The sequence below is a fragment of the Homo sapiens genome, chromosome 21 (assembly GCF_000001405.40).
Source record: "Homo sapiens chromosome 21, GRCh38.p14 Primary Assembly".
In the NCBI taxonomy this organism is placed as follows: domain Eukaryota; kingdom Metazoa; phylum Chordata; class Mammalia; order Primates; family Hominidae; genus Homo; species Homo sapiens.
This window is the reverse complement of record NC_000021.9, coordinates 43,406,774-43,428,794: the sequence shown is the minus strand read 5'-3', so window position 1 is coordinate 43,428,794 and position 22,021 is coordinate 43,406,774. Positions and strand designations below refer to the sequence as shown.

Here is a 22,021-nt window from a genome sequence, read left to right as displayed (position 1 = left end):
CTCACGCCATCCTCCCACCTCAGGCTCCCAAGTAGCCGGCCCCACAGGCGTGTGCCACCACACCTGGCTATTTTAAAAGTATTTTATAGAGGTGAGGTCTTGCTATGTTAACCAAGCCGGTCTCAAACTCCTGAGCTCAACTGATCCTCCTGCCTCAGCCTCCCAAAGCACTGGGATTACAGGCGGGAGACACGACGTCCAGCCTTGTTTTTGTTTAGTTCTCCTAGGAGCGGATTAACAGGGTGTTGGGACCTCCAAAAGGAAAAAAGGCAGTTGTACACTGTTCAGCTGAAAGGAACTAAAAATATTCCCCCGTATTCTTGGTATATAAACCTGGGACAAAGAAAAACACTCTGAACGATTAAGGAAAACTTTGGGACTCTTCATTTCCTTGAAAGCCTTTGAAAACCAACTGACTCCCAAACAACCCGTGTGTGTGTGTGTGTGTGTGTGTGTGTGTGTGTGTGTGTGGCGATTGGGAAATCTGTGGTCAGACCCTCGGGCGAATGAGGAGAAGCTCATCCTCGTTTCTCCGGGCCCTCCTCCCAGGCGTCCGTCCAGGCAGGAAAGCCTCCCGAGAAGGGTTCCAAGTTTTGTGCCAACTCCCCTGAATTCTCGTTCCCCCTTCTGTGAAGTAGTGTTATTTAACACAAGGAAAACTGACCCTAGGCTCGATCCAGAATCTAACTCCCAAATGGGTCCTCAGGCTTAAAAAATACCTTCGCCCACAGCCTCTGTCTCCCCTGAAGAAAACGTTTTCCGTTCGGATGAGGCATCGGCCACGGGCAAGCAAGTGGTCCCGCGCCCCCGTCCCCTACCCAGGCGGCCGGCCTGGCTCCGTCACCGCCCGCAGCGTCCGCCCGGGGCCCGCGCGGGAAGAGGGTCCCAGCCCCACATGCTGCGGGGGCAGCCCCGGGACGCGCAGACGCCAGCGCCGCTGAGGGCCGGGGCCGGGACCGGCCGCGCGGCGGGGGCTTCCAGAGCGGCCGGTCACGCTTCCTTAGGTTTCAAGTTTCTAACTTGCTGAACATTTCAGATTTTAACAGCAAAAGCGGCTGACGTCCCCGCGGGCAAGCGGCCTCTCGGGGTCTGCAGCGCCCCAGGGCATCCGCGCCGCCAGCCCCACGCGCGAGCCCGCGAGGCCCCCGGGCCCCCGCACGTCCCGAGGCTCTGAGTCTGGACGAACGCAGGCCGCGTGGAGGGGCCGGCGACCCCTGCCCGAGAGCCGTCCCCTCCTGGAGGGAGCGAGCACAAGGCGCCCGCGGGACCCGGCCCGAGTGCCCGAGCGTGGAGGGGCGGGCGCGCCCTCGGCGGTGGGGCCGCCCGCAGTGCCCCCAGCGCCCGGGAGGGGGCGCCCGGCGGAGCGCAGGCGGGCGGGCCTCGGGCGGCGGGCGCCCCTGACGTCACCGGCCCGCGGTCGCCAGGGCAACGGCCTCATCCCGCGCGCGTCAGAGCCGCCAGTCTCTTGGCAACCGCCCGATCTCCCGCTCTCCCTCCGCCCGGCGCTCGGCCGCGCGTCGCTCTGGCGTCAAAGCGACGTCAATGGGCGGCCCCCGCCCGGGCGGCGGGGGCGGGGCAGGGGGCGGGGACTACGGGGGGCGGGCCGGGGCGGGCCGGGGCGGGGCCGGGCGCCGCGTGCGGCGGAGCGCGGCGGCTCCGGGCTGACATGCGGCGCGGCCCCGGAGGCAGCAGCAGCGGCGGCGGCAGCCGGAGCAGTAGGCACCCGAGCAGCGCCAGCGGCCGAGCGGGCGGCTTCCTGGCCTGGGCGCTCCGGTGGCGGCGGAGGTGAGGCGGCGGCAGCGGCGGCAGCGGCGGCAGCGGCGGGCTCCGGGCGGGCGGAGGTGGCCGCCGTGGGGGCTCCGCGCGGGCGCCGGGCCGGGGCTCGGGGTTGCAGCCACCGCGCAGGGTCCCTGGCCTTGCGCGCGCGGGGTTCGCGGGCGGGGTTGGCGGCCTGGCCGCCCTCGGGCTCCCCTTTGTTGGGGGGCCGGGGTAGGAGTGAGTCCGCGGGGCTCAGGGGCTGGGGAGCCGGGGGTCAGGTTGGAGCCGACCGCGGGCGGAGATACCGGGTGTGGGGGGCGGGTCCGCGATCCCCGAGGTGCCTGGGATGTCGGGGGTGGGGACCGGACGGATCGCGGGCGGCGGGGGCAGGGTGTGGGAGCGGGGCAGGGGACGGTCCTGGGATCCGGATCGAGCCGACCTCGGGTGGCAGGGCCAGGTGTGGGAGCGGGTCCGCGCCCAGAGGTGCTAAAGGGGTCGAGGGTGGGGACGGAACCGACAGCGGGCGGCGGGAGGCGAGTGTGGAATCCCGGCTCAGGGGGTCCCGGGATCGGGACGGAACCGGACTCGGGCGGCAGGGGCCTCTATGAGAGCGGGTCCGTGCGCCCCGCGGGGCTCAAGAGGGTCGGGGGTCCGGGTGGAGCGGGCGGCGGGGGCGGGTCCACACCTCCCACGGGGCTGGAGGGGCCCGTGGATAGAGTGGGGGCGACAGGCGTGGGAGCAGGTCCCTGCGTCCCGTGGGGACTGGGGGCTCCGCGGGCACGGATGGAGCCGACCGCGGGCGGCGGGGGCGCTGGTGGGCTCTGAGCTCTGTGCGGCCCCGCAGGTGCGCGCGGAGCCATGGTTATCATGTCGGAGTTCAGCGCGGACCCCGCGGGCCAGGGTCAGGGCCAGCAGAAGCCCCTCCGGGTGGGTTTTTACGACATCGAGCGGACCCTGGGCAAAGGCAACTTCGCGGTGGTGAAGCTGGCGCGGCATCGAGTCACCAAAACGCAGGTGCGTGGGGGCGGTGGGACCCAGCCGGCGGGGCCTCCCCACTGGACCCGGGGCGACCCGACCTTTGGCGGGTGGACCCCATGCAGATTCACTGCTCCAGGCTTGATTGTCGTGGTGGGTAAATAGTAACCGTTTTTAGTTCGGTAAAGAAAAATAATGCTTTATATTATGTTGCTGCATAATTTGGACATATATTGGGAGAAAGCAGAGAGGATAATAGCAAAAAAAAGGACCAACCTAAGATTGCAGTGGTTCATGGACTCAGAGCTAAACCCTGTAAAGTGAGCCTGCAAATACTTAAGTCACTTACTTAACTCTGATTATTTTAAATAACATTAGTGGTTACTTTGGTTATGTTTTCCCAACTTCTTGTGACCTTCTGGAGACAGAGTGTTGAGAAATTAACTTGCAAAAAATGAAATGTGTAAATTAGGTTGAGGGTTTCTTTTCTTTTTTTAAAAAAACCCACAGAATATCCTTTTTCTTTTTAAATTTGTAGGTTGCAATAAAAATAATTGATAAAACACGATTAGATTCAAGCAATTTGGAGAAAATCTATCGTGAGGTTCAGCTGATGAAGCTTCTGAACCATCCACACATCATAAAGCTTTACCAGGTAAGGGGTCAGCTTGCCTTTCTCTGCTAATCCTGGCAAATGTGTTATATTTTATTTCCAACAGCATAAGTCTGCAATTTCTGAAGGTGGCTTCCCTTTTGGGGAGTGTGTGGAAGTTGGGCATTTGGTTGTATAAGGTAAATAGATTGATTTTTATAGGCTGTGCAGATATATTTACAATTATTTTATTGCTTTTGGATCATAATTGAGATTTGCTTCATTAGAATTTTATTTAGTATCCTAACCTGATCCAGTTTTAAATGTGTAGAAGTCTGTTGTAAATTTGCTTTACTATGAAAACAGACAAACTTATCTGTAGGTATTGCCACAGGTCACGCATTTAGTATAAAAGGACAAATTTGAGTGAAACTGGAAACTTCTGCCTTTGCAGATAATTATTAAACTTTAAAGCCAGCTGCTCTTACTGGTTTTCATTAGTTTATTTTTGCAAGGACAGTAGTGAGCATTTGTTTTCCCTATTTAAACTCTTCCATGAAAAACGGAGAGATGAAAATACTTTTCCATAGTAAGAGCAAGGAGCTTGTCATTTAATCCATGCTAGGAACATGGCTTGCCCTGTCTCTCTGTTGGTTTATTTTGTGACTTAATTTTTGTTCTCATGTTGAAATTAATAAATTATATCATCAGGAAATAAGTACTAATTTAATTAGAACAGCAAAGCAATCATTTACACCTCCCTAATGACAAATGACCACTTTTGCAAGGTGAAATCAAGTCTTCTTGCAGAAGAAGTTCTTTGCAGGTGCTATTTCATCCATTTGTGTTGGGTTGAAGTTCCTCGTAATGATTCTTATGAAATGGAATGTGAGATGACTCTGGGATGTTGTTGTGTGTGTTTGTGCAATTAGGACAGCTCGGTGTACAGTGTGGTAGGAGAGAGAATTATGATTCGAAATTATCCCCCAAAAGCCTCTGCACTAGATTGAAAATAAAAGTAGCAGTATTGGTGGAGCTTACGACAGTTTGCTCAGTGTCTTTAAGCACAGAATTCATGCCGTGTGCGCCTGGTTTGTGTTTTGTTTCTGTTGTCATTTTTAAGTTGTGTGCTCCATGGCCACTGGTGTACTGCCTGTGCAGCGTGCCCAGCCCATTTCCTCAGGAGTGGGCTGAGCTGGTTTTGTTTTTGACTTTGCTCAAGGGCTGAACCCTAATGGTAGTACCTTCCTTTTCTTCCTGTTCTTCTCCTTTGCCCATTGTGTGGAATTAGCTCCGTTAAAGAAACAAATTGCCCATGTGTTTGCTGCTGAGGTCTTTTCTGGAGGTGCATTTTCTTACTGCTGCTGTATGTGATTCTTAACTGTTGGGAGATGATAGAATTCAGTGGTGTAGCAATGACTTTTACTCCTCTGGTTTTGATGCTAATGTCTAATTTTCTTTCTTTTCTTTCTTTCTTCCTGTCTTTTTTTTTTTTTTCTTTTTTGAGACGGAGTCTCTGTCCGTCACCCAGGCTGGAGTGCAGTGGCGCGATTTCGGCTCACTGCAACTGCCGCCTCCTGGGTTCAAGCAATTCTTCTGCCTCAGCCTCCCAAGTAGCTGGGACTACAGGCGCCCGCCACAACACCCAGCTAATTTTTTGTATTTTTAGTAGAGACAGGGTTTCACCGTGTTAGCCAGGATAGTCTGGATCTCCTGACCTTGTGATCCGCCCGCCTCGGCCTCCCAAAGTGCTGGGATTACAGGCATGAACCACCGCGCCCGGCCACTAGTGTCTAATTTTCATTCCGCTGGCCGGGGCCCCAGAACCCTGCTGAGACACTTCCCTCTTTTTTTCAAGTTTTCAAAAAGTTCAAACACTTTGACTTTTAATTCTTTTCCTCCTCCTCCCTTTCTTCAGTTGGGGACGGGTCAGCAGTGGTCTTAGAGTTATTGTACCACCCACAGGGGCGGGGCAGTTAAAATTCTTGCCAAACTGCTAGAATTTATAGAACACTTTTCTTTTTAGATTTATAACTCAAAGCAGCAATCTTTGAAGCATCTTTTTTTTTTTTTTTTTTTTTTGAGATGGAGTCTCACTGTCGCCCAGGCTGGAGTGCAGTGGCGCTATGGATCGTGACTCACTGCAACCTCCACCTCCTGGGTTCAAGCGATTCTCCTACCTCAGCCTCCCAAGTAGCTGGGACTACAGGCACGCGCCACCACACCTGGCTAATTTTTGTATTTTTAGTAGAGATGGGGTTTCACCATGTTGACCAGGCTGGTCTCGAACTCCTAACCTCAAGTGATCAGCCTGGGTGATCCCAAAGTACTGGGATTACAAGCATGAGCCACCACCTCCAGCACAAAGCATCTTTTTAAAGGAATAACTATATTTTGAACCCAAAAAAATCTTTTTTCATAAGAATATATTGCCTCATCCTCTCCAAAATTTTTCAATACTCACAGACATAAGTTATATTTTTAAATCTCTTTTTAAGTAAAATAAAGTTATTGATTAGTGAATGAACTTCAAAGGGCTATGTTGGCATGGCTGTTGTGTGGCTACATGCTGAGTGAATGGCTACATGCTGAGTGAATGAGGCTGGATTCTCACAGCCTCATTCATCCTGTCAATAAAGCTGGGTTCCCACAGCGTCATTCATCCTGTCAATCAAGCGAGTGGGAATGGGGTGTGCATTCTCTATTACCCAGGTGGCTCTGACCGTTGGCTGGAATCATCTGTTGCCTACTAGGCTTCTATAAAGCCCAGCAGACTTCCAGCAATCTCCTCCTCTGTAGCCTTCAGAATACTGTCTCTCCTTTTTTGAGATGGAGTCTCGCTCTGTCGCCCAAGTTGGAGTGCAGTGGTACGATCTCGGCTCACTGCAACCTCCGCCTTGCGGGTTCGAATGATCCTCTTGCCTCAGCCTCCTGAGTAGCTGGGATTACAGGTGCCCACCACCTCACCTAGCTAGTTTTTGTATTTTTTGTAGAGATGGGGTCTTGCCGTGTTGACCAGGCTGGTCTCGAACTCAAGCGATTCTCCTGCCTTGGCCTCCCGAAGTGCTGGGATTACAGGGCGTGAGCCACCATGCCCCGGCCTAAGCATTCTCAAATTGTATGTGAGGTGTCTTGAATTAAATATGACCACAGAGGGGAATTCTAATATATTTAGACCTTTTGTGAGAGCAAAGGTGTATCAGGATAGGCAAGTCAGTGAGGAATTCACCTCTGATTTTTCAAAGCTGTCTTTGTGAGTAGGAATCTCCTATTTTTTTTTTATTTGAGAAATTTTTCTTTTTCTTTGCATTTTTAAATGATGAATGCCTTTGTCCTAGAGAAGTTAGAAATTTCCTGGGGTTCTGGTGGATGGTTTGTAGCGCTGCCTTGTGCCTTTTTTGTGCGGTTAAATGTCAGGTCTTTCTTCTTTAGGTTATGGAAACAAAGGACATGCTTTACATCGTCACTGAATTTGCTAAAAATGGAGAAATGTTTGGTAAGCCACACTCGTTTTCAGTATCTGTTGAAAACCAATGGCACGAACGCGTCTGGATTTGCGCGGCCAGTGTCTGGGCCACACATCCCAGGACCCCGCGGTGTTCCCCAGGGCTCCATGGGTGGTGGGCAGGCTTTGCCCTGGGGGCTGTAGCTTTGTTTTGTGGCTCCTCAGATTATTTGACTTCCAACGGGCACCTGAGTGAGAACGAGGCGCGGAAGAAGTTCTGGCAAATCCTGTCGGCCGTGGAGTACTGTCACGACCATCACATCGTCCACCGGGACCTCAAGACCGAGAACCTCCTGCTGGATGGCAACATGGACATCAAGCTGGCAGGCACGGAGGGTCCGGGGTGGGAGCAGGGACATCAAGCTGGCAGGCACGGAGGGTCTGGGGTGGGAGCAGGGACATCAAGCTGGCAGGCACGGAGGGTCCGGGGTGGGAGCAGGGACATCAAGCTGGCAGGCACGGAGGCCCCGGGGTGGGAGTGTGCCCGCAAGCAGCCCCAGCTTCCCGGCATGTGCCGAAACCACAGCCCCTGTGCCGAAACCGCAGCCCCTTGCCATTTGCCGTTTAACCTCATCCATCTGTTTCTTTGCCGCTCAGATTTTGGATTTGGGAATTTCTACAAGTCAGGAGAGCCTCTGTCCACGTGGTGTGGGAGCCCCCCGTATGCCGCCCCGGAAGTCTTTGAGGGGAAGGAGTATGAAGGCCCCCAGCTGGACATCTGGGTAGGAGCCCTGTGCGCGCAGACCCCCTTCCCGAGGCCGCGTTCCCCGAGGGCGCCGTGTTCCCGGGGGCACCGCCCTGGCGCTGATGTGGCTCTGTGGTCCTCAACAGAGCCTGGGCGTGGTGCTGTACGTCCTGGTCTGCGGTTCTCTCCCCTTCGATGGGCCTAACCTGCCGACGCTGAGACAGCGGGTGCTGGAGGGCCGCTTCCGCATCCCCTTCTTCATGTCTCAAGGTGAGTCGTGTGGTCTCGCCTGGGCAGGGGCCTGTGTCTCCTGCAGCCCCTTCGTGGCTGGCTTCTGAGTCCTTGTTGAGTCTGGGAATCAGGCCCAGGTTACTGTGGGCTGCGGGAGAAACCCAGCCCATGGATGCCTTCTCAGTGCCCTATTTCGAGGGTGGACGGGTGCCCTTGCTGCACAGGCTTGTGCCTTGCGCCTGCCGTCCCCGCCCAGTACCCGCACCCAGGGTGCTGGCATCATCCCTGAGTCCAACCCACTGGCTGTGGCTCACCCGGCTTTTCTGTGTCATAAAGATGCCTGTCCACCTGGTGCTCAGGTGTGGGGCACGGCAGAAGGGTGAACCTAAGTGGTTCTCTGTGTGGTGGACACAAAGTGTGGCAGCCCCCAGGGTCTGGATCCCTGGCTGATGGCTCCCCTTGGGTGGCAGGACTGAGCCGATGGCCCGGCCCCTGCTCCTGGGCCCTGGCGTGTCAAACCACGTGGGGCGGTGGGTGGGAGCGCAGCCGAGGTCCCGGCCGCCCTGGCTCAGCCTCCTGGCCCCTCCACAGACTGTGAGAGCCTGATCCGCCGCATGCTGGTGGTGGACCCCGCCAGGCGCATCACCATCGCCCAGATCCGGCAGCACCGGTGGATGCGGGCTGAGCCCTGCTTGCCGGGACCCGCCTGCCCCGCCTTCTCCGCACACAGCTACACCTCCAACCTGGGCGACTACGATGAGCAGGCGCTGGGTATCATGCAGACCCTGGGCGTGGACCGGCAGAGGACGGTGGAGGTGAGCCTGGCCACACTTGCCCTGGCCTCACCCGCAGGGGCTAGGCAGCTGTCTCAGGGGAAGCAGGCACTCACCAGCTGAGTTAAAACGGGAGCACAGGCTAATTTAGGGGCCGGCTTGTCCACCCCACTAAAGGATATTCTCAGTCACCCAAGAATAACCTGGGATCGGGTGGGCCCTGGGGCTCCCCGCCATCCCCATGCTGATCTCTGCTCCTCTTGTTCCCAGTCACTGCAAAACAGCAGCTATAACCACTTTGCTGCCATTTATTACCTCCTCCTTGAGCGGCTCAAGGAGTATCGGAATGCCCAGTGCGCCCGCCCCGGGCCTGCCAGGCAGCCGCGGCCTCGGAGCTCGGACCTCAGTGGTTTGGAGGTGAGGGGGAGGAGTCTCCTCCCAGGCCCCAGGCTCCCTCCCCTGTCAGGCACCGGCTTGGAGGGCGGTTCCTTGCGTGGGCAGTGGGTCCCAGGCCTCGTGGGGAAGGGGGTGCCAGCTGCTGGGGGCTGGACTCTGCCCAGAGGCCACTTGTCCCTGACTCATCCCTGGGGCCGGCCTGTCACGCCACCTTCTGGCAGCGCAGCACCAGCACCTGGTCCTGAGCCCAGCCTGGCCAGCCAGTGTCCCTCCGTCAGCTGTCATGCCCACCAGCGAGGCAGCTTGCACTCCAGACAGAAGCCAGCTTGTTTCTTCTCTTGATGGCGCTGGTGGTCCGGAGTCGCTCCCCTGACAGCGTCTTTCCCGTCTGCCGGCCCCAGGTGCCTCAGGAAGGTCTTTCCACCGACCCTTTCCGACCTGCCTTGCTGTGCCCGCAGCCGCAGACCTTGGTGCAGTCCGTCCTCCAGGCCGAGATGGACTGTGAGCTCCAGAGCTCGCTGCAGTGGGTGAGTGCCCACAGCGGGTGTGCAGAGGGCTCGCCTCAGCCCAGCCCTGGTGCCCCCGGTGTGCCCGGGTCACCTGGAGTCCGAGAAGTCACTGGCTTGTGTCTCTCCAACGCAGCCCTTGTTCTTCCCGGTGGATGCCAGCTGCAGCGGAGTGTTCCGGCCCCGGCCCGTGTCCCCAAGCAGCCTGCTGGACACAGCCATCAGTGAGGAGGCCAGGCAGGGGCCGGGCCTAGAGGAGGAGCAGGACACGCAGGAGTCCCTGCCCAGCAGCACGGGCCGGAGGCACACCCTGGCCGAGGTCTCCACCCGCCTCTCCCCACTCACCGCGCCATGTAAGTGTCCCCGGGGGCCCAGGAGGACACCGGTGGATAGGCTTACGGTCGACGTGAGGGTGGGCTAATTTAGAATGGACGTTTTGCCCGGCAGCCTCTCAGGTTGGACTTCTCAGGATTTGCCATTTGTTTTAATCCCTGAGACCACACAGTTGATGTTTAGAGCCTGCCCTGCATGTGGTCGTTCCAGTGGAGGATACAGCATGGGGTCTGGCCTCCAGCAGGGTCCTCCCCAGGCCGCCCCTGGGTGCCGGGAGGGCAGCCCCTTGGCCTGAGGCCCACTATGACCTGCCCCCTGCAGCTGCACCGTGATGGTGGCTTGCCTTTGTGGCTCCCTGGGCTCTGGTGGCCTCGAGCCCTCTTCCCACCAGGTTGATGGTGGGGATGGGGAGGCCAGCGCAGCCATGTGTGCCCAGCAGTGGCCGGGGGAGCCTATTCCTTTGCACTGCAGCATCAAAAGCGCTGTCCTCCCCCCACAGGTATAGTCGTCTCCCCCTCCACCACGGCAAGTCCTGCAGAGGGAACCAGCTCTGACAGTTGTCTGACCTTCTCTGCGAGCAAAAGCCCCGCGGGGCTCAGTGGCACCCCGGCCACTCAGGGGCTGCTGGGCGCCTGCTCCCCGGTCAGGCTGGCCTCGCCCTTCCTGGGGTCGCAGTCCGCCACCCCAGTGCTGCAGGCTCAGGGGGGCTTGGGAGGAGCTGTTCTGCTCCCTGTCAGCTTCCAGGAGGGACGGCGGGCGTCGGACACCTCACTGACTCAAGGTGAGCCACGCTCCTCCCACACTTACCTCCACCTTCCCCAGGGGACCATGTGTGTCTCTGGCAGTACGTGACTTTGTCCGTGATGGCAGATGGCACCCCCTGTTCTCCACCGGGCCTGGGTGGGACCCTCAGTGCTCTGGGCAGGCTGGGGTGCTCAGTGCTCTGGTGGCTCGGGGCGTCACGGCCTGCTGGGATAGACACACATGGGTCCCTGAGCACGCGGCCTCCATGGCTGGTTCTGAAAGCACAGGAGACGACTCTGTGCTGGGCAGCACCTCCCGACTTGGAGGAGGGAGGGCCCCTGGCTGCCGGCTGCCTCCACGCCATCCTGGGGCTTAGGTGCCAGACTCCTGTCCAGACGTGCTTGTGTCACCCGTCCTTTCCTTACCCCCAACCTGAGGCTTGGAAACCCCTTAAGCCAAGGGCCGTGGATGCTGGGCTGAGAGCCGGGTGGCCGTTGACCTCCTGATTCATTCTCCCTGCAGGGCTGAAGGCCTTTCGGCAGCAGCTGAGGAAGACCACGCGGACCAAAGGGTTTCTGGGACTGAACAAAATCAAGGGGCTGGCTCGCCAGGTGTGCCAGGCCCCCGCCAGCCGGGCCAGCAGGGGCGGCCTGAGCCCCTTCCACGCCCCTGCACAGAGCCCAGGCCTGCACGGCGGCGCAGCCGGCAGCCGGGAGGGCTGGAGCCTGCTGGAGGAGGTGCTAGAGCAGCAGAGGTAGGGCCTGCCCCCGCCCTGGGACCCCGGGTGGGCACACGGCAGGTTATCTCCTCGAGGAACCTCATCTGCTAAGTGGTTCCCTCCTCTCTGTAGCCCAGTGCACACCCCCGCTCCCAGCCAGGGAGATGTGTGGGGCGTAGGTCCTAGGTGCTGAGCCATGGGGGTGCAGCAGGCGGGCGTGTCCTTTAAAGTCCCTGGGTGGGTGAGGGTGGCGGGGAGCGAGGGCGCCTTGTGGCCGCATCTCTGAGCTGCTGAGAAACCGGGTGGAGAATGAAAGGTGGGGCGCGGTCAGGGATCAGCCACGCACCTGCCCTCGGCAGCCGCGGCTGGCAGCTCCTCGGGCGGGCCCTGCCACACGGGCACTCGGAAACCCGAGAACCCTGCGAGCCGGCGCAGTGACCACCTGTCCTCTGTTCCCACAGGCTGCTCCAGTTACAGCACCACCCGGCCGCTGCACCCGGCTGCTCCCAGGCCCCCCAGCCGGCCCCTGCCCCGTTTGTGATCGCCCCCTGTGATGGCCCTGGGGCTGCCCCGCTCCCCAGCACCCTCCTCACGTCGGGGCTCCCGCTGCTGCCGCCCCCACTCCTGCAGACCGGCGCGTCCCCGGTGGCCTCAGCGGCGCAGCTCCTGGACACACACCTGCACATTGGCACCGGCCCCACCGCCCTCCCCGCTGTGCCCCCACCACGCCTGGCCAGGCTGGCCCCAGGTTGTGAGCCCCTGGGGCTGCTGCAGGGGGACTGTGAGATGGAGGACCTGATGCCCTGCTCCCTAGGCACGTTTGTCCTGGTGCAGTGAGGGCAGCCCTGCATCCTGGCACGGACACTGACTCTTACAGCAATAACTTCAGAGGAGGTGAAGACATCTGGCCTCAAAGCCAAGAACTTTCTAGAAGCGAAATAAGCAATACGTTAGGTGTTTTGGCTTTTTAGTTTATTTTTGTTTTATTTTTTTCTTGCACTGAGTGACCTCAACTTTGAGTAGGGACTGGAAACTTTAGGAAGAAAGATAATTGAGGGGCGTGTCTGGGGGCGGGGGCAGGAGGGGAGCGGGGTGGAGGGAACACGTGCAGTGCCGTGGTGTGGGGATCTCGGCCCCTCTCTCTGGGTTCGTCGTGGTTGAGATGATTACCTCGGACGTCTACGGAAACGAGCGGGCGCATTGTTGTCCGCTTGTGTGTGTGTGTGTGTGTGTGTGTGTGCGCGTGCATTGATTACTATCCATTTCTTTAGTCAACGCTCTCCACTTCCTGATTTCTGCTTTAAGGAAAACTGTGAACTTTCTGCTTCATGTATCAGTTTTAAAGCAGCCCAGGCAAAGATCATCTACAGATTCTAGGAATTCTCTCCCCTGAAATCAAAACCTGGAAGACTTTTTTTTCTTATTTTAGTTGAGAAGTTTCATAAACTGCTCAAGGATTAGTTTTCCAGGACTCTGCGGAGGAACGGCAGGAAGAACCTCAGAGAGGGCAGAGGTGACTTCAAAGTGCTGGGGACTCCGTCCTGAGGGTCACTTGGCCCTGAGCCCCTGCGTGCCCTTGCGGAAGCCCAGAAGCTTCTTCCTGCTGCACCTCCCGTTTCCGCTGCTGCTGACGTTTATGCATTTCATGATGGGGTCCAACAAGAACACCTGACTTGGGTGAAGTTGTGCAATATTGGAGGCTGACTGTAGGGCTGGGCAGCTGGGAGACAGGCTCATGGCTCATGGCTCATGGCTCAGGGCGGTGCCTGCCCTGGGCCGGGACCCCCCTCCCCACCCCCCACCTAGGCTTTTTGGGTTTTGTTCAAGGAAGGTAAAGTGAGAGGTTTAGGTCAGTGTTTTTAAGTTTTTGTTTTTTTTTTAAAGCAAATCCTGTATATGTATCTACATGGGAGACAGGTAGACACTACTTATTTGTTACATTTTGTACTATACGTTTGTGTTCCAGGTTTCAGCTTCCCTCGCTCCTGTTGTTAAGAAGCGTCCCTGTCAGCACAGGTGTGCATTGAGGAAGGGGCCCCAGGGCCTTCGCTCCCTCAGCACTGGGGTGGAGGCGGCAGGAAGGGGCGGCCCTTACCTGGCAGGTCTGGGCGCACCTTTAGCAGGTGGACTCCGTGGGGCTCCACCAGCCAGAAGCCTCTGGAAGGCAACGAAGGCAATGCTGCTCCCTGAGTCCAGTCCCCGCCCCCAAACCCAGCCCAGGTGCCTTCAGCTACTTCGGCTTCTTAAACCCTGCAGTGTTAAACAGAGGCATTGAGAAAGGGGAAAGGCGGGTATTTTTAAAAGCCAAAGATTGACCCAGTTACTTGAGGGTAGGGAGGCGGGCCCAGTGCAGGAGGCTGCATCCCTGGCCTGCTGGTGCCCACCGGGGGCTGTGCCTGTGCCGGGCCGCAGGGAAGCTGGCTGCCCCCATTCCTGCTGCTGCTGCTGCTGCTGCTCTGTGGCTGTTTCAAAGACTGGGCGAAAGGCTGTCCGGAGGGCAGACCAGGTGCCTTGCCGCAGAGAAAACACCAAAGTCTCCTGTTCGCTCATAAAGAAGTTTTTGGGATGGGAGAGAATCCAGACCATCTTGGGGCAGCCAGGCCCTTGCCTTCATTTTTACAGAGGTAGCACAACTGATTCCAACACAAAACCCCTTCCCCTTTTTAAAATGATTTCTGTTCTAATGCCATAGATCAAAGGCCTCAGAAACCATTGTGTGTTTCCTCTTTGAAGCAATGACAAGCACTTTACTTTCACGGTGGTTTTTGTTTTTTCTTATTGCTGTGGAACCTCTTTTGGAGGACGTTAAAGGCGTGTTTTACTTGTTTTTTTAAGAGTGTGTGATGTGTGTTTTGTAGATTTCTTGACAGTGCTGTAATACAGACGGCAATGCAATAGCCTATTTAAAGACACTACGTGATCTGATTGAGATGTACATAGTTTTTTTTTTTACCATAACTGAATTATTTTATCTCTTATGTTAACATGAGAAATGTATGCCAAATGATTAGTTGATGTATGTTTTTTAATTTAATATTTAAATAAAATATTTGGAAGGAAAAAACCTTGACTTTTTCCCTTCCTCTCTCTCTCATCTCTCTGGGAGCTCTTTCCTTCCAAGCGGCTTCCCTGAGAGGCCACATCCTCCAGGCTTGTAGAAGTTTCAAATCTTAAAGAGGAGGGCAGGGAGCCAACTCCTGCATTCCACCTCACTGCAGGGAACTAATGGCCTTCCGTCTGCAGAGGACCCCTCCCCCTGCGGCAGCCACAGGTGGCCCCGTGGTCTGCCCCCTCCTCAGGACCCTTCCCCAGTGGCCGGGCTCAGTCACTGAAAGTCTCAGCACCGCCCGGGGCTGCCGGCACCATCCATCCTTACCCCATCCTCCGCCAGGTTCTCTGAGTCTGGTTATAAATTAAGCAGTTGGAAGAATCTCACAGCCAAACCATTTCCTGGTCTCTGAAAGACTTCACCACCTTCTAGCAAGAGGGCACACACTGCTGCTTTATGAGAACAAAGGACTTGTTCATGTTGTCACCTGGTGGATATTTTGGTTAAAAAAAGCTCTTCAACCTCTTCGCTCCCATTAAGGTGGTCCTTACCAAAATGGACCCCTTGTGCGCTGTTGGTGGGAGGGTCAAATGGCGCAGCCTTTATGGGAGAGCAGTGTACCAGCTCCTCAAAGATTAGAACCACCACCTGATCCGGCCGCTCCTCCTAATGGTATGGACCCTGAAGAACTGAAGGCAGGGCCCAGAGAGGTTTGTACACCCATGTTCACAGCAGCATGACGACAGCCATACTAGGAAGCAGCCCGAGGGGCCGTCAGCCGATGAAGGGATCAAGAAGATGTGGTCCCGCCTATAATCCCAGCACTTTGGGAGGCTGAGGTGGGCGGATCACCTGAGGTTGGGAGTTCGAGACCAGCCTGACTAACATGGAGAAACCTCATCTCTACTAAAAATACAAAATTAGCGGGGCATGGTGGTGCATGCTTGTAATCCCAGCTACTCGGGGGGGCTGAGGCAGGAGAATCGTTTGAACCCAGGAGGCGGAGTTTGTGGTGAGCCGAGATTGTGCCATTGCACTCCAGCCTGGGCAACAAGAGCGAAACTCTGTCTCAAAAAAACAAACAAAGAAGATGTAGTCCATGCCGACAGTGGAATAGGCCTCAGCCGTACAAAAGGAAAGCCCAGCATGGCTGCCAGCGAGGATGGACCCTGAGGATGCCGTGCTCAGTGGAACAAGCCCGTCATAAAAGAACACACACTCGAGGGCCCTAGAGGGGACAGATTCACAGAGACAGAAGGGGGAGTGGGGGGTGCCGGGGGCTGGGGAGGGGCTGCTGAGCCAGAGATGAATGGGTGGGAATTGCAGTTTAAGAGGATGAAAAGTGCTGGAGTTGGGCGGTGGCGATGGCTGCAAAACAGTATGAACGTTCTTAACGCACTCAACTGTGTACCGAAAAATGGTTAAAACGATACATTGTATGTTACGTTTATTTTACTACTTTTTTTTTTTTTTTCGAGCCTTGCTTTGTCACCCAGGCTGGAGTGCAGTGGCGTGATCTTGGCTCACGGCAACCTCCTTCTCCTGGGTTCAAGCGATTCTCCTGCCTCAGCCTCCTGAGTAGCTGGGATTAGAGGCCCCCACCACCATGCCGGGCTAATTTCTGTATTTTTAGTAGAGATGGGGTTTCACCATGTTGGCCAAACTGGTCTCGAACTTCTGACCTCACACTTGAGGTCCGCCCACCTCAGCCCCCCAAAGTGTGGAGATTACAAGCGTGAGCCACTGCGCCGGGACCACAATGTTTTTAAGAAGAAAACAAAGTTTTTTCTCAAGGAGGCAGATGCTCAGTGAGTGCGCAGCAGTTCCCATGAGGAGAGCAGGCAGGAGCCATGGGCAGGGGCAGGCACAGGGCAGGCCACTGTCGGTGCTGAGGTTGGCTGGGCATAAGTGTGGCCGGGGCCAGCCTCATTGTTCCTGGAGCCCTGCTCAGACAGGGCGTCCTGGCCCTCGGGAGAGCCTGCACTGCGACGGCCCCTCAGGCAGCTGGATGGTGGGAGAGGCCGGGGAGGGGGCTCTTTGTCTTCTGAGTCATCTCTGCGGTTTTGCTGTCTCTAAGAACAAAGCAGTAGCCTCCGAGGTCCTGGCTGTGGCTGCCGCTGGCTTAGTGGCTTGAGGCTGTCTGACAGGGAGGCCAAACCAGGGCTGAGCACTCCTGAGTGAGCGGAGGTGCCTGCTTGGGCCATGCCTGTGTGGGGGAATCTGGCAGGGGAGCTGGGGGCCCACGGAGCTGCTCTGTCTCCAGGCAGCCTCGTCGCTCCACCCCGCTTAGAGTGGGGCCGCCTCAGGACACCAAGGTTGGGCTGTGTGGCATCTGCTGAACAAGGAGCCGGGCGGCTGTGCTGAGGGCACCTGTGTTTATTGTTTGGGAGCCTTAGAAACCAGGAACCTCGAGTCGGAACCTCTTGTCGTGTCGTGCATGCGAATTCAGGGTGTGACCTGCCCATGTCTCAGCTCCCCGACCTAGTGGTCAGCTCCTCGTGGGGACAGATGTGTCTCATGGTGCTCCAGGGTACTGAAGCAGCCCCAGCAGGTAGCAGCTCCTTAACACACAGCACTGGCAAAACCATCCCTGTGTCTCCCATGCTTGGGCGCTTCTTCCAGAACTCCTGATGGTGGCGAAGACGATGGCGATGATGATGGTGATAGAGGCTTAGACTTCTCAGGTTGAAAGTTGGAGCCCCCCTTGGGGAGCCTCCCACAGGCCTTGTAGGACTCCAGAATTCTGCCCTGGGCCCCTTGATCTGCTCCTGAGTCATTTCAGTCCCTCCACTGGGGAGGTCCTGATGGGTAGAGGGAGCTGGCCACACCCATGGGTGTGTTTGCCCCTTGCCTGAGGGTCCTTTATGGCCCCTAGCCCACGTCTGGCACCGTGAGCATCCCCCACCCACCCCGGGCATTTTGCAGGATGTTCTCGTTGAGGACATGTTCCTTCCTGCTGGGGCTTGGCCGGGCTGAGCCGGGCCCTGGCGCACCCCTAGTACTCGATGGCACTTCTGAGCCATACGGGGTTCTGGGGTTCTGGGACTTTCTTTTTCAGTCTGGTGAGGGGCCAGGTACTGCCTGGAGCTTCAACCAAAGCAAATCAGGTGATTGCCATGTCCTTGCTAACACAAGACGGAGGCACGCCCAGCCAGCTGACATGCAGAGTGGCACGGTGGCTGAGAACGTGGCCTCCGTTGCCGCACGCCTGAGTTTGCGTTCTGGTGCTGCAGCTTTGCAGCCCTTTGTGACGGCCACGCGTGCTCCGGGTCAGCAGGCCGCTCCCGTGACAAGGGCGCGACATGCAGGGTGCACAGTGGGCCCTGGGGAAACACGGTGGCATCCCCGAGCGCCATCCCCAGCAAGAACGGGGCCAGACACCCACCAGGGAAGAAGCACCGTGGTTGACCGGATTGTTGGCGACCTGACCGCCTGCTTATTCCGTCGTGGACGCGCCTCCTCTCGCAGCGGTGGGAGCGGAGGCCTTCGCCTGGAGGCGCCTGGGCCCTGCCTCTGTGCTTTTCTGTCACCCTGAACGGCTGGCGCTCTCCTCGCTGGGCCGCGGGATAAGAAGAAGGCTTTCCGGCAGTCCAGAAATACTGGCTCCCAGGAGCAGGACTGGCCTCTCGGGGTGGGGGTGGGGAGAGAGGGGATGCCCCAGCCAGAGGGAGGTCCCTGGGCCCAGCCTGGAGGGAGCCGAGGCAAGATCCACCTGTTTCTGCACGTGCTCGCCTCCCTCGGAGGCAGGAACTGAATCTGACCTAAGAGGAACCGACTCTCTTGGGGTGGAAGAAACAGAGTTGGCCTCTTCGTGTTTCTTCCGGAATAACACCGGGGTGTTGAGGCGGCATGCTGGTGAGGGCTTGGGTGAGCACAGCCGCCCTGCCTGTGGCCCCACCTCTGATCTTGGGAGGAGTCTGCTGTTCGGAGGCGGGCGGGTCCTGAGGAAGGTGTCCAGGTCTGGCTCTTCAGAGACCAGGAGGGCTGGGCTCCGGGTCCTGCCTGTGCAGCTGGTGTGGCGCCTGGCAGAGAAGAGAGAGGGGGAGAGGGAGGGGAGAGGGGAGGACAGAAGAGGAAAGGAGAGAGAGAGGAGGGAGGCAGAGAGGGAGAAGAGAGGGAGGCAGAGAGGGAGGGAGGGAGAGAAGAGAGGAGAAAGAGGAGGGAGGGAGGAGAGAGGAGGGAGAGAAGAGAGGAGAGAGAGGAGGGAGGAGAGAGGAGGGAGGGAAGGAGAGAGAGGAGGGAGAGAGGGAGAGAAGAGGGAGGGAAGGAGAGAGGAGGGAAGGAGGAGGGAGACGAGGGAGGGAGGAGGGAGATAGGAGGGAGGGAGGGAGGAGGTAGGGAATGTTCAGTTTCTTTCCTCAGGGGAACTGCTGGGGTCTCAGTCTGACTCACTTTTTTCTAATTATTATTATTTCACTTATTTGAATGTGATTTCTGTTAAAAAAAAAAAAGAAAGAAAGAAAGAAACAAGAAACAAGAAAGGACTTAGAAAAAGTACTCAGGGAACCCAGGTGGCCAGAAATGCTCCATTCCCCTTTTGTCCTTTGCAGTGTTCTGGTCTGGAATGAATGGGCTTCCCCAGCAGATTTTAGGGGCTTTTCTTTGAAATTTGAAGGGGAAGGTACCTTCCTATGATCACAGAGCATGTTCCCTTCCAGCCAAGAGGTTAAGTGGAAAGCCCGGGGCCCTGGGTTCCAGAGCGGGGGGCCGGAAGACTGTGAGGCTCAGGGGAGAACGCAAATCCGTCTCAGCAGAAATGTGCCCCAGAACAAATCAGCTCCACCGAGCTCCCAGTGACCTGAACCAAATGCGTCGTCTTTGGTGCGAACTTCAAGGAGTTCTGCCGGGCACCGACCTGGGTCACCACCATCAGAATTGACGCACAGAACACGCCTGTCACCCAGAAAGCTCCCCTGGGCTCTCCGCTCCGTGCCCTTGCCGTGTTCCCGGCCCCAGGCAACGGATGACCTGCTTCCTGTCACTGGGCATGCGTTTGCATTTTCCAGAATTCCTAGGAATGGAATCAGACAGCGTGTGCTCCTGATGGGCTGGCTTCTCTCACTCAGCATAATTAAACGTGGCTTCCTCCACGTGCCGCGCATCAGGAGCTCATTCCTGTTTCCTGCTGAGTCGTGTTCCGTGGTGGGGAAGGCCACCGTTTGTTTACCCACTCACCTGGTGATGAACGTTTGGGTGGTTCCCGGCATGGGGCGATTATAAATGATGCTGCTGTGAATCCTGGTGTGGACGTGTCTCATTTCTATTGGGTAATGTAGGCCAAGGTGCAGAGGCTGGCTCGTGTGGCATGAGAGCGATTCACTCGACAGAAGCCGCCCAGCTGCTCTCCAACGGGGCTGCTCCTATTTGCGTTCCTGCCCACCACGTACGAGAGCTCCGGTTGCTCCAACCCTCACCAACACTTAGCGTTGTTAGTGTTTTAAATTTTAGCCACTTGGATAGTCTGTCGTGGTGTCTTATCATGATTTTATCTTGCATTTTCCTGATGACTGGTGATGTTGACTGTCTTGTAATTAGCCATTCTATTTTTCATATTTATTTGCATCTTTGCTGGTTTTTGTTTTTGTTTTTTGAGACAGGGTCTCGCTCCGTCACCCAGGCTGGAATGCAGTGGTGCCATCTTGGTTCACTGCAGCCTCTGTCTCTTGGGCTCAATCAATCCTCCCATTTCAGCCTCCTGAGTAGCTGGAAGTACAGACATGCGCCACCGCGCCTGGCTAATTTTTGTATATTATTTTTGGTAGAGAAGGGGTTTCACGATGTTGCCCAGGCTGGTCTTGAACTCCTGGGCTAAAGTGATCCTCCAGCCTCCCAAAGTGCTAGGATTATAGGCATGAGCCCCCGTGCCCCACCTTTGCTAATTTTTATTGGGTTGTTTGAATTCTTATTATTGAGTTGTTGGAGTTCCTTATATTCTGACCTTATATTCTGAACCCAAGTCCCTTTGTCACATGAGTGTATGTGTCTGTACCCTCTCCTCCTGCCACACACAGAATATTTCTCTCCCTTGTGGCTTGCCTTTCATTTGAAGAGTGAAGAGTTGAAGGTTTTTATTGTTATGAAGTCCAGCTGATCATTTAATCTTCTGCAGCTGGTGCTTTTTGTGTCTTATCCAAGAAAGCTCTGTCTACCCCAGTGTTGGGGGCTCTCCTGTGTGCCCTTCCAGTGGGTTTATGCTTTCAGCCTTCGTGTCTACAGCTCTGTCCACTTTGAGTTGATTTTTGCCTCTGGTTCGGGATAGCAGTTGAGGTTTATTTTTATTTTTTTCTGTGGATAACCAGTTGTTCCAGCGCCGTTTACTGAAAGACTCCGCTTTGCCCATTGAATTAATATGACACATTTGTGAGAAATCAAGTAACCATCAACTCGAGAGTCTGCTTCTGGGCTCTGCTGTGTTCCGCGGATCTATCTGTTCTGTGGCACAGCACATGTCTTTTTTTTTTTTTTTTTTTTTTTTTGAGATGGAGTCTTGCTCTGTTCCCCAGGCTAGAATGCAGTGGCACGATCTTGGCTCACTGCAAGCTCCGCCTGCCGGGTTCATGACATTCTTCTGCCTCAGCCGCCCGAGTAGCTGGGACTACAGGCGCCCGCCACCACGCCCGGCTAATTTTTTGTATTTTTAGTAGAGACGGGGTTTCACCGTGTTAGCCAGGATGGTCTCCATCTCCTGACCTTGTGATCCGCCCACCTCGGCCTCCCAAAGTGCTGGGATTACAGGCGTGAGCCACCGCACCTGGCCAGCACAGCACGTGTCTTGATTATTATTATCCTCATAGCTTAAATCTTAATGAAACCAGGTAGTGGAAATCATCTAATTTTGTTCTTTCTCTAAATTATTTTTGCTTTTTTAGGTCTTTTACATTTCTGTATACATTTTAGAATCAGCTTGTCAATTTCTGCACCTTGTATTGACTGTCTACTTGTGTAGAATTGTTATTATTTGTTCCTTGAATGTTTGAGTCCCTAAATGCTTCTTTAAATCACGGAAGGCATGTGGGCCTAGTTTCTTAATCAGAAGGTTTTGAATCCCAAATTCAGTTTCTTTAGTAGGTTGAGAACCATTCAGATCTGGGATTTCGTTTTCGAGTGAGTTTGAAAGTTCGCGTCTGTCACGGCACATGCTCCTGTCCTCCGGGTTGTCAGGTCTGTTGGTGTAAAGTCCACAATATTCTCTCTCTCTCTCTCTTTTTTTTTTGAGATGGAGTCTTGCTTGCTCTGTCGCACGAGCTAGAGTGCAGTGGGGCGCTCTCGGCTCACTGCAAACTCCACCTCCCAGGTTCAAGCGGTTTTCCTGCCTCAGCCTCCAGAGTAGCTGGGATTACAGGTGGCTGCCAACACACCCAGCTAATTTTTGTATTCTTAGAGACGGGGTTTCACCATATTGTCCAGGCTGTTCACGATCCCCTGACCTCAGGTGATCTGCCCACCTCAGCCTCCCAAAGTGTTAGGATTACAGGCATGAGCCACCACACCTGGTCCACAATATTCCTTTATTACCTTTCTGTTGTGTCGAATCTGTGCTAATGTCTTCCATTTCATTTCTGATATTAAAGGTTTGTATTTACTCTCTTTTATCTTTTTGATTGGAAGTTTATCAATTTGTTTTAATTTTCCAAGATCCACCCTTGGGTTCCATGGATTCGCTTTATTGCTTATTCATTTTCTATGTAGTTGATTTCCTCTCTGTATTATCACCCTTTTCTACTTAATTTGATTTGAATTTTCTCTTCTTTAGCTT

The 22,021-nt window shown here is 55.8% G+C and overlaps 1 protein-coding gene across 2 annotated transcripts, besides 6 other annotated features; it reads left to right on the top strand.

Annotated features, from left to right (window-relative positions):
• SIK1 (salt inducible kinase 1) lies at nucleotides 1,664-14,312 on the top strand. Of its 2 annotated transcripts, NM_173354.5 has the most exons (14): nucleotides 1,664-1,785; nucleotides 2,603-2,772; nucleotides 3,272-3,388; nucleotides 6,758-6,821; nucleotides 6,996-7,157; nucleotides 7,428-7,552; nucleotides 7,662-7,785; nucleotides 8,338-8,561; nucleotides 8,790-8,936; nucleotides 9,317-9,442; nucleotides 9,558-9,774; nucleotides 10,254-10,535; nucleotides 11,021-11,252; nucleotides 11,678-14,312. In NM_173354.5, the coding sequence occupies exons 2-14, from the start codon at nucleotides 2,617-2,619 to the stop codon at nucleotides 12,051-12,053; spliced, it is 2,352 nt and encodes a 783-aa protein (NP_775490.2). In that variant the 5' UTR covers nucleotides 1,664-1,785; nucleotides 2,603-2,616; the 3' UTR covers nucleotides 12,054-14,312. The 2 variants fall into 2 exon arrangements, with proteins under 2 accessions (NP_775490.2, XP_011527776.1); XM_011529474.3 differs by lacking the exon at nucleotides 8,790-8,936.
• Nucleotides 13,871-14,452: an enhancer, noted in NCBI's record as "OCT4-NANOG-H3K27ac-H3K4me1 hESC enhancer chr21:44834223-44834804 (GRCh37/hg19 assembly coordinates)". NCBI's record gives its function as "activates a minimal SCP1, AML or CMV promoter by ChIP-STARR-seq in primed H9 embryonic stem cells {active_cell/tissue: H9 hESC(primed)}" and the evidence as "EXISTENCE:reporter gene assay evidence [ECO:0000049][PMID:30033119]".
• Nucleotides 14,453-15,035: an enhancer, noted in NCBI's record as "OCT4-NANOG-H3K4me1 hESC enhancer chr21:44833640-44834222 (GRCh37/hg19 assembly coordinates)". NCBI's record gives its function as "activates a minimal SCP1, AML or CMV promoter by ChIP-STARR-seq in primed H9 embryonic stem cells {active_cell/tissue: H9 hESC(primed)}" and the evidence as "EXISTENCE:reporter gene assay evidence [ECO:0000049][PMID:30033119]".
• Nucleotides 16,232-16,526: a silencer, noted in NCBI's record as "tiled region #3188; K562 Repressive DNase unmatched - State 8:EnhW". NCBI's record gives its function as "represses a minimal TATA promoter and a strong SV40 promoter by Sharpr-MPRA in K562 cells {active_cell/tissue: K562}" and the evidence as "EXISTENCE:reporter gene assay evidence [ECO:0000049][PMID:27701403]".
• Nucleotides 17,689-18,212: an enhancer, noted in NCBI's record as "H3K27ac-H3K4me1 hESC enhancer chr21:44830463-44830986 (GRCh37/hg19 assembly coordinates)". NCBI's record gives its function as "activates a minimal SCP1, AML or CMV promoter by ChIP-STARR-seq in primed H9 embryonic stem cells {active_cell/tissue: H9 hESC(primed)}" and the evidence as "EXISTENCE:reporter gene assay evidence [ECO:0000049][PMID:30033119]".
• Nucleotides 18,213-18,736: an enhancer, noted in NCBI's record as "H3K4me1 hESC enhancer chr21:44829939-44830462 (GRCh37/hg19 assembly coordinates)". NCBI's record gives its function as "activates a minimal SCP1, AML or CMV promoter by ChIP-STARR-seq in primed H9 embryonic stem cells {active_cell/tissue: H9 hESC(primed)}" and the evidence as "EXISTENCE:reporter gene assay evidence [ECO:0000049][PMID:30033119]".
• Nucleotides 19,261-19,784: an enhancer, noted in NCBI's record as "H3K4me1 hESC enhancer chr21:44828891-44829414 (GRCh37/hg19 assembly coordinates)". NCBI's record gives its function as "activates a minimal SCP1, AML or CMV promoter by ChIP-STARR-seq in primed H9 embryonic stem cells {active_cell/tissue: H9 hESC(primed)}" and the evidence as "EXISTENCE:reporter gene assay evidence [ECO:0000049][PMID:30033119]".

Bases quoted from the DNA above. Each gene is read 5' to 3' on its own strand.
- SIK1 (NM_173354.5), top strand. From the start codon at position 2,617: ATGGTTATCATGTCGGAGTTCAGCGCGGACCCCGCGGGCCAGGGTCAG. The intron at 3,389-6,757 runs GTAAGGGGTCAG...TTTCTTCTTTAG, and splicing joins ACATCATAAAGCTTTACCAG to GTTATGGAAACAAAGGACAT. The intron at 8,562-8,789 runs GTGAGCCTGGCC...TCTTGTTCCCAG, and splicing joins ACCGGCAGAGGACGGTGGAG to TCACTGCAAAACAGCAGCTA.